An 8,316-nucleotide genomic window follows, 5' to 3' on the forward strand; every position below is an offset into this window, starting at 1 on the left:
ATTTGACTCCATGGTTCCCAAGATAGTAAAGGAGAAGATTCTACCTCGGGCTCTACTCAGTTTCTGGTAAGGATGTGATCATCAGCCTCTCTGGGCAGGAGACAAGGAAGGGTAAAGGGAAGACTGGGCTGATTGGGCTGTTATGTGGTCTAAACCCTGGGGAATGGACCAGTGAACCCTATGGGCTTTGGGATTTCCTAACCCTGTGAGGGACTTCCTGGTGTGGAGTTACAAATGAATTGAAACATTTACAGTAGTTTAACCGCCTGGAGCTAATGAAGTGACATTATATGCTAATGATACTAACAACAAGTAAGTCTTCAAAACAGACATTATGAGTGGCATCAATAAATGGTGAACTAGGGGGTCCCAGGCCTCACTCCCCCCACAGAAAGGTCAACTAGCAACTATCCACAGACAAAAACACTTTGGTAAAAACCCCAAAATATGGGACCCAGGTGGTCTAGCTGTGAAGTTTCTCCCTATATCCCCTGTTTCCCAAGAGGTGGGAAAAGGGAACCAAGGAGGCAACATTCAGCCTCCCTAGCACATCCTGAGACATTTCCCAGCAAGCTCACTTCATAGTATTAATGATTATTGCTAACATTTATGAAGAGCTGACTGGGAGCCAGATACACTTATTCTCACAACAAGTTTTTTGAGCTGCGTCCTACCGTTATATTTATAGATAAAGAAGTTGCAGCAGAAATCTTCAACAGGTTATCCGAGGTCATACTCTTGGTCAATCAGCCCAGGAATTAGAACCTAGACTAGAGGCTGTACTCTTGACAACCAGGCAAGAGATAGAAGTAGAGGGCTTTGTGGTCTGGGAATGGTATAGTGTGTTTTAAATTTCAGTGCTGACTCAAAGAGGTATTTGTGCACCAATGTTCCTAGCAGCATTATTCAAAATAGCTAAAAAGTGGAAATAGTTCAGTGTCCATGAGCAGAAGAATGGGTAAACAAAAGGTAGCATATACATACAATGGAGTATTATTCAGCCTTTAAAAGAATGCAGTTTTGTTTGTTTGTTTGTTTGTTTGTTTTTTAAAGGCAGGGTCTCACTTTGTCACCCAGGCTGGAATGCAATGGCTCAATCTCGGCTCACTGCAACTCCACCTCCTGGGTTCAAGCAATTCTCCCGCCTCAGCCTCCCTAGAAGCTGGGATTACAGGGGCATGCCACCACACCCATCTAATTTTTGTATTCTTAGTAGAGATGGGGTTTCACCATGTTGACCAGGCTGGTCTTGAACTCCTGACCTCAGGTGATCCACCCGCCTCTGCCTCCCAAAATGCTGGGATTACAGGCATGAGCTACCGTGCCCAGCCTCCATGTACTTCTTCCTGACAAACTTTGCAGGTCTGGAGATCTTCTACTTTTTCACCATTGCCCCTCTGACTCTGGCCAATGTCCTACCCATGGGGAGAAACCTCATTTCCCTGCCCGGCTGTGGAGGCCAGATGTTCTTCTTCATCTTCCTGGGAAGGGCTGACTGCATCCTGCTGGCCGTCATGGCCTTTGACTGGTTTGTGGCCATCTGTTGTCCTCTCTGTTACGGCCTCATCATGAGCTGGAGGTTGTGTGTCCAGCTGACCCTGGGGTCTCTGCTGTTGGGGTTCTTCTTAGCCATGCAGCTGACCGTGCTTATCTTCCAACTCCCTTTATGCAGCAGCAAAGAAATCAGCACGTTCTACTGTGATGTCCTCCCTGTCATGAGACTGGCCTGTGCAGATACCTGGGTCCATGAGGCCACTATGTCTATGGTCAGCACCACCTTTCTCACCGTCCCCTTCCTGCTCATCACTCTTTCCTATGTCTCCATCATGGCCGCCATCTTGAAGATTTGCTCTGCAGAGGGGAGGCACAAGGCCTTCTCCACCTTTCCTCCCACCTGACTGTGGTTCTCCTCCAGGACTGATGTACACGCCTCGCCTTCTTGTGTCCCAGCTCTAGCTACTATCCTGAGAGGGGCCAGGCAGTGTCTGTGGTTTACACCTTCATTACCCCTGTGCTGAACCCTTTGATCTACAGCATGAGGAACACAGAACTTAAGGATGCTTTGAAGAGAGCAATGACGAGGGTCCCGCTGCTCTAAACACATGCCACTCTTCAATACTGCTGGGCAGAGACACATGGCATACTGCCAGAAAGATAAGGAGAAGGGGCACAACAGTTGATTGTGTTTTATACTGTTAGTTCTTAGTTATATTATTTTTGAAAAGTCATTTTCCATTTCCCAGCCTCAGGTTCTTCACCTCCAAAATAGAGATTAAACTACCTGCAGGATCTAAATTCTGGGGGTACTTCTGAGGATCAATAGATATATTAAGTGAAAGTACTTTGTGACTTTTAAAGGGAGATATGGGCGGGGCACAGTGGCTCACGCCTGTAATCCCAGCACTTTAGGAGGCTGAGGTGGGTGGATCACCTGAGGTCAGGAGTTCAAAACCAGCCTGGCCAACCTGGTGAAACCCTGTCTCTACTAAAAATACAAAAATTAGCCTGGCATGGTGGCGGGTGCCTATAATCCCAGCTACGTGGGAGGATGAGGCAGGAGAATCACCAGGAGGCAGAGGCTGCAGTGAGCCAAGATTGCACCACTGCACTCCAGCCTGGACAACAAGAGTGAGACTCCATCTAAAAAAAAAAAAAAAAAAAGGGAGATATGGCAGTAAATGTGGTTATTGCCATCTTCATCATCATGTAAAATCTGCCCTACCTTGGATTTATCTCCAGATGTTGTTCTCAGGTTCTCAGCAGGCCCAAACAGTGCACACGTGGGGCTAAGCCAGGAATAGGATTCAAATGAAACTGGGACCACTGAGTTTGTGCTTTTTTTTGAATTAATAATCTTTCATCCTAATTTCTATTCCAGGGAAAGGTGATGGAGAAAATATCGGAGTCTTGGAGTTTCGGTAGCTTCTCTATTCTTGTTTTTTTTTTTTTAGATAAGAGTCTTGCTGTGTTGCCCAGTCTGGAGTGCAGTGGTGCAATCTTGGCTCACTGCAGCCTCCACCCCCCGAGTTCAAGCATTCTCCCGTCTCAGCCTCCCAAGTAGCTGGGACTACAGGTGCCACACCACCAGACCTGGCTAATTTTTGTATTTTTAGTAAAGACGGGGTTTCACCATGTTGGCCAGGCTGGTCTCGAACTCCTGACCTCAGTTGATCTGCCCACCTTGACCTCCCAAAGTGCTGGGATTACAGGTGTGAGCCACCACACCCGATCTCTTTTCTTACCTTTATACCAGAGCTTATTGGTCTCCATATGAATCACTGGCTCTGTATCAGTCTGCCTCCAAACTGTTCTCCCCACGACTATTCATTCCCCTCCCCTTTCTCCCGCAAATGTGTGGTCATGATTCCCTAAGCTGAGGGATTTATTTTGCGATGTTTTCCAAACTCTTTTTTCTTTGGAGGACGTCTTGAAGTGGGTTGTGTTGTTGAACTTATGTTGATAAATGCAGCATTATGTTGGAGAATGCTGAACTTATGTTGGAAAATGCTGACTCTGAATACCAAGATGGTTATTATTTTATCTGTGAATGAAATATTCCAGGCATTTCTCAGTTTCCCGTGCTCTCTGAAAAAGCAGTGCAGTTATAAAGGGTTAGCAGACTTTTTTTCAAGTTATTGAATTACGGAATTAACAATTCTCGTATATATTAACTCACTTATCTTCACAAAAACCCATGAAATGGGTACTATTATTATTATTTATCATTATTAGTTTTTTGAAACAGAGTATTGCTCTGTCACTGAGGCTATAGTGCAGTGGTGCAATCTTGGCTCACTGCAACCTCCTCCTTCCAGATTCAAGCAATTCTCATGCCTCAGCCGCCTGAGTTGCTGGGATTACAGGCATGAGCCACCACCCTTGGCTAATTTTTGTATTTTTCTTAGAGACAGGGTTTCACCATGTTGGCCAGGCTGGTCTTGAGCTCCTGGCCTCAAGTGATCCACCTGCCTCAGCCTCCCAAAGTGCTGGGATTACAGGTGTGAGCCACCACGCCCGGCTGAGATGGGTATTATTATTATCTTTGCTTACGGATAAGGACATTGAGGCACAGGGGCATTAAATCAATTGCCAAAGGTCACACAACCATTAGTGGTAGAACTGAGATTTGACCTGGGTAGTTTGGCTCCACAGCCTGGGCAGGCAACCACTGCCTTTTGCAGCATGTCTATCAGCATGCTATGTGAGCTTGGGAAAATCATCTTATTTCTCTGTACTTAATTTAATTTATAATAAAATGGGGATAATAATATGTACCCTAACTCCCTCCCTGAGTGATTGTGAGATATCAGGACAAAACAAAGTTATAAAAGTGCAGTAAAATTCAGTATGGCTATTCAAACATTCAAACGAGGAAATACATTAGATGGCTTATTTCTTTAATTACAAGGAGTTTAAAGCCACAATTATCCAATTGCCCTTTATCTGTGCTTCATTATAAATATCCTGTTCCTCTTTTTAAAGGAATAGATATACTTTTAATTTTTTTTTTTTTTGAGACATGTCTCTCTCTGTCACCCAGCCTGGAGTGCAGTGCCGTGATCATAGTTCACTGCAGCCTCAAAATTCTGGGCTCAAGCAATCCTGCACCGCAGCCTACTGAGTAGCTGGGGACTGCATGTGAGCACCACTATACCTGGCTAATTTTTTTTTTTTTTTTGAGACGGAGTCTCGCTCTGTCACCAGGCTGGAGTGCAGTGGCGCAATCTCGCCTCATTGCAACCTCTGCCTCCCGGGTTCAAGCAATTCTCACTGCAGCCTCCACCCCCTGGGTTCAAGCAATTCTCCTGCCTCAGCCTCCCAAGTAGCTGGGATTACAAGCACACACCACCACGCCCAGCTAATTTTTGTATTTTTAGTAGAGACGGGATTTCACCATGTTGGCCAGGATGGTCTCGATCTCCTGACCTCATGATCCACCTGCCTCAGCCTCCCAAAGTGCTAGGACTACAGGCGTGAGTCACTGCACCTGGCTCGATTTATGTATGTTTTGTAGAAATGGGGTGTCACTCTGTTGCCCAAGCTGACAAAGAATTCTTATTATTATTATACTTTAAGTTTTAGCGTACATGTACATAACGTGCAGGTTTGTTACATATGTATACATGTGCCATGTTGGTGTGCTGCACCCATTAACTCGTCACTTAGCATTAGGTATATCTCCTAATGCTATCCCTCCCCGTTCCCCCACCCCACAACAGTCCCCGACAAAGAAATTTTAACACAGTTGAAACTGTACAACTATGGAAGGTGCCACCTTGGGAATGTCTGGAAAAACTAAAAAAGTTAAAATGGCAAAAACTCCAAAAATTATTGGGTGTCCTGTGGCATGCTAGGCCTTATCTAAAGCACCTTTCTGGATTACCTGATTTTTTAGTGATTTTTGCCTTATAAAATCTTGCAGCTATTTTCCAACTTGGTAAGTTGTAGAAAATTCATAGGAATGCCAATGATTCTTGTCCATAGAGATGCCTGGTAGAAGTGCAATTGCTCTCCCAGCACCCCGAGGCCAGTTCTGCATTTATTATTTATTTTTATTAAAAATATAATTTTTAAGACAGAGTTTTGCTCTGTGGTCCAGGCTGGAGTGCAGTGGTGTGATCTCAGTTCACTGCAACCTCTGCTTCCCAGGTTCCAGAGATTCTTCTGCCGCAGCCTCCCGAGTAGCTGGGATTTGTAGGCGTGCACTATCACGCCCGGCTAATTTTTTGTATTTTTAGTAGAGATGAGGTTTCAAGATGTTGGCCAGGCTGGTCTTGAACTCCTAACTTCAAGTGATCTGCCCGCCTCAGCCTCCCACAGTGCTGGGATTACAGGCATGAGCCACTGCACCCGGCCAGTTGTGCATTTATTAACATGTTCGTTTCAGCATTCCTGATTGCCTATATATGTGTGTACACTTTGTGTTTTCCTCTGGACAGGGCTAGCTTTACTGGTCTCCTCATTCATTAATGAATTAAAGTCTTTGATGTGTGTGCATTTTATATTTGTAGAGGAGTCATGATTTTACTCTTTTCAAAACAATTATCCTGTAACAGGAACCCTCTGAGCAGAGGCAGACAGGCCACCCTTGATTCCTGCTGTGGAAAGAGAATTTTTTACTCCAGACCCCAATGGTCCTTTTCAGATTCCTAACGTGAAGGGTTGTTCATATCTCGGCCTCTCGCGGAAGACTCTATTTTCTTGAAGCGCGGGGAACTACGTATTCCCACTAACAAAAATCTGTTAAGGGGCAGGGCGCAGTGGCGCACGCCTGTAATCCCAGCCCTTCGAGAGGCCGAGGCGGGCGGATGGCTTGAATACAGGAGTTCCAGACCAGCCTGGGCAACATGGCGAAACCCTATCTCTACGAAAAAAACACAAAAATTAGCCGGGCGTAGTGGCGCACGCCTGTAATCCCAGCTACTTGGGAGGCTGAGATGGGAGGATGGGTTGGGCCCAGGGGATCGAGGCTGCAGAGAGCGGTGATCGCGCCACTGCACTCAACTTGCGCAACAGAATGAGACTCTGTCTAAAAAACAAACAAACAAACAAACAAACAAACAAACAACCCCCAAACTCCCCAAAAATGTGTTAGGGGAAGGAGGTGGGACAGTGTGTATTTCTGATCTACTCGCCTTTCCTAGTATGACCACCAGGGGGCGCGGAAGCCCTCCTGGTACTAAGGCGGGGACAACCTGCCCAGCGAGCACAGCGGGCAGAAGGAAGTGTGCCGGACGCGAGAGAGAACTACGGCCGAGACCCGCGGGGCCGGCTCAAAGCCCGACCTCTGCCATACGCACCGTATCTTTATGGGAGCCGATGAGGTCAGCAGGGAGCACGCGTTCAGATGGCAGAAGAGGGCAAAGTACTGCTAGAATTACAAAGATATTTACAGCTTTTTAACCTGAAAGCACAGAGCAGATCCTATTCTTCAGAATTAAATCTTCGGCTCGCCAGTCCCGTTTATGGATCTCCACTCTGATGAATGTGCCATTTGTTCCCAAGAAGACAAATAGGGTAGGGAGAAGAGGGAGAGGCGGGGAGAAGACTCGAGATAAAGGGACGATCTGCTTTTCGGAAGCAGAAGCCGCCTGGGAACCACCTGCACACCAAGCAGGCTGCGAGGACGGGGAGCGCTCCAGTGCAAAGTTCTGTATTTTAAAGCCCCTCCTCGCTCACAGGCTTCACAGCGAACTACGAAGTGGGTACCATCTCTGATTTACAGACACGGGAACGGGGTCCTCTTGAGAAACGATGCTTTCCCAAACGTCTGCAAATTGTGAGTGCCAAGTGTCTCCACTGGCACTAACAACATCGAGCTGCTTACGTTTCTCGGAGCGGTCCCGATTTCCAACAAGCAAAAGATCCAAATTCTCTGACCACCCTGACCGTCCTGTATCTCCAGATCTCCAGGTCTTTCCTCTGGACACCTCCTCCATCCCCCCACTTTCACTGCCAGCAGCCCTGAGGCTGCGCGGGATCCCGCTACTCGGAATGCCTTCCTCCTGGCGGGATATTTTTAGAACACTCGACTGCCACCCAATGTAGCCCACATCACATTGTCTTATTTGTTTTCGGGAGCTTGTCCCCGCCTAGCAAGGAGTCGGCTAAGAACTGGATCCTAGCGAGGAGCCCGGCACAGACAGCGAATGACCGCAGCCAGACAGTCGCTCTTGCTCTTCCTCGGCCCTGCGGCAGGATCCGCCGGTGCAGGGGCCTCTCCCCGGACTCCACGCGTGTCTGGAGGGCTCTCGGGTTAGGGAAGGGGGCTTTGGAGACGCCCCGGGCGGCCGGGCGGTGGCGGGACGCGGGCCCTTTAAGAAGGAGCGAGGGGCGCGGCCAGGTAGGGGCGGGTCCAGGGCGGATCAGCGCTGCGCCGGCGCCGGCCCGGGAGCCGGATTTGGAGCGCGAGGCGCCGGTGGGGGCGGAGGGGGCTGCGCGGCGGAGGCTCCCGTGGCCTCGGACGCTCCTCCTAGCTAGCGGCCGCCGCCCGCCGCCGCCTGCGCCTCCAGCTCCTTCGCCCCGGCGGGCCCGGCCGCCGCTTCCGGCAGCTCACCTGGGAAGCGCTCACCTGGGACGCGCTCACCTGGGACGCGCTACCTGCCTCCGGGCGCCTGGGCTTCAGGATGAAGGACCGTCTGGAGCAGCTGAAGGCCGTGAGTTTCGCCGCAGGCGGGGTGCTGCCAGGAGGGGTGCTGCATGGGAGAGGGGCTTCCCTTTGCTCCCCAAGTCGAGGCTGGAGGGGGGCCCGAGCCGGAGGCTTGCCCTCCCCAAGCCCCCACCGCTTCCCGCGCCGGTTCCGCACCCTCCCCTCCC

At 49.0% G+C, this 8,316-nt stretch overlaps 1 protein-coding gene and 1 pseudogene across 15 annotated transcripts in view, besides 6 other annotated features; both read left to right on the forward strand.

The window, feature by feature from the left end:
- The first annotated feature begins 1,332 nt into the window (after positions 1 to 1,332).
- Positions 1,333 to 2,102, forward strand: OR10V2P (olfactory receptor family 10 subfamily V member 2 pseudogene; annotated as a pseudogene). The gene has a single exon (NR_045005.1). The product of NR_045005.1 is annotated as an olfactory receptor family 10 subfamily V member 2 pseudogene (transcript).
- Positions 6,327 to 6,827: an enhancer, noted in NCBI's record as "H3K4me1 hESC enhancer chr11:59521279-59521779 (GRCh37/hg19 assembly coordinates)". NCBI's record gives its function as "activates a minimal SCP1, AML or CMV promoter by ChIP-STARR-seq in naive H9 embryonic stem cells {active_cell/tissue: H9 hESC(naive)}" and the evidence as "EXISTENCE:reporter gene assay evidence [ECO:0000049][PMID:30033119]".
- Positions 6,327 to 6,967: a biological region, named in NCBI's record as "Sharpr-MPRA regulatory regions 192 and 10030".
- Positions 6,517 to 6,811: an enhancer, noted in NCBI's record as "tiled region #192; K562 Activating DNase unmatched - State 1:Tss". NCBI's record gives its function as "activates a minimal TATA promoter and a strong SV40 promoter by Sharpr-MPRA in K562 cells {active_cell/tissue: K562}" and the evidence as "EXISTENCE:reporter gene assay evidence [ECO:0000049][PMID:27701403]".
- Positions 6,577 to 6,871: an enhancer, noted in NCBI's record as "tiled region #10030; HepG2 Activating DNase matched - State 4:PromP, and K562 Activating DNase unmatched - State 1:Tss". NCBI's record gives its function as "activates a minimal TATA promoter and a strong SV40 promoter by Sharpr-MPRA in HepG2 and K562 cells {active_cell/tissue: HepG2 | K562}" and the evidence as "EXISTENCE:reporter gene assay evidence [ECO:0000049][PMID:27701403]".
- Positions 6,709 to 8,316, forward strand: part of STX3 (syntaxin 3) — a 51,691-nt gene continuing 50,083 nt past the window's right edge. For 13 of the 14 annotated variants that reach the window (NM_004177.5, NM_001440524.1, NM_001440526.1 and 10 more), the window contains exon 1: positions 7,897 to 8,156. In NM_004177.5, the coding sequence (NP_004168.1) occupies positions 8,127 to 8,156 (30 nt within the window). In that variant the 5' untranslated portion in view covers positions 7,897 to 8,126. Of the gene's footprint in view, positions 7,756 to 7,896; positions 8,157 to 8,316 lie in introns of those variants that run through there. The other variant, XM_047427501.1, reaches the window with a different exon arrangement.
- Positions 6,808 to 6,967: an enhancer, noted in NCBI's record as "active region_4760". NCBI's record gives its function as "activates an Ori minimal core promoter by ATAC-STARR-seq in GM12878 lymphoblastoid cells {active_cell/tissue: GM12878}" and the evidence as "EXISTENCE:reporter gene assay evidence [ECO:0000049][PMID:35858748]".
- Positions 7,838 to 8,097: a silencer, noted in NCBI's record as "silent region_3369". NCBI's record gives its function as "represses an Ori minimal core promoter by ATAC-STARR-seq in GM12878 lymphoblastoid cells {active_cell/tissue: GM12878}" and the evidence as "EXISTENCE:reporter gene assay evidence [ECO:0000049][PMID:35858748]".

Source organism: Homo sapiens, chromosome 11 (genome assembly GCF_000001405.40).
Source record: "Homo sapiens chromosome 11, GRCh38.p14 Primary Assembly".
Lineage (NCBI taxonomy): Eukaryota > Metazoa > Chordata > Mammalia > Primates > Hominidae > Homo > Homo sapiens.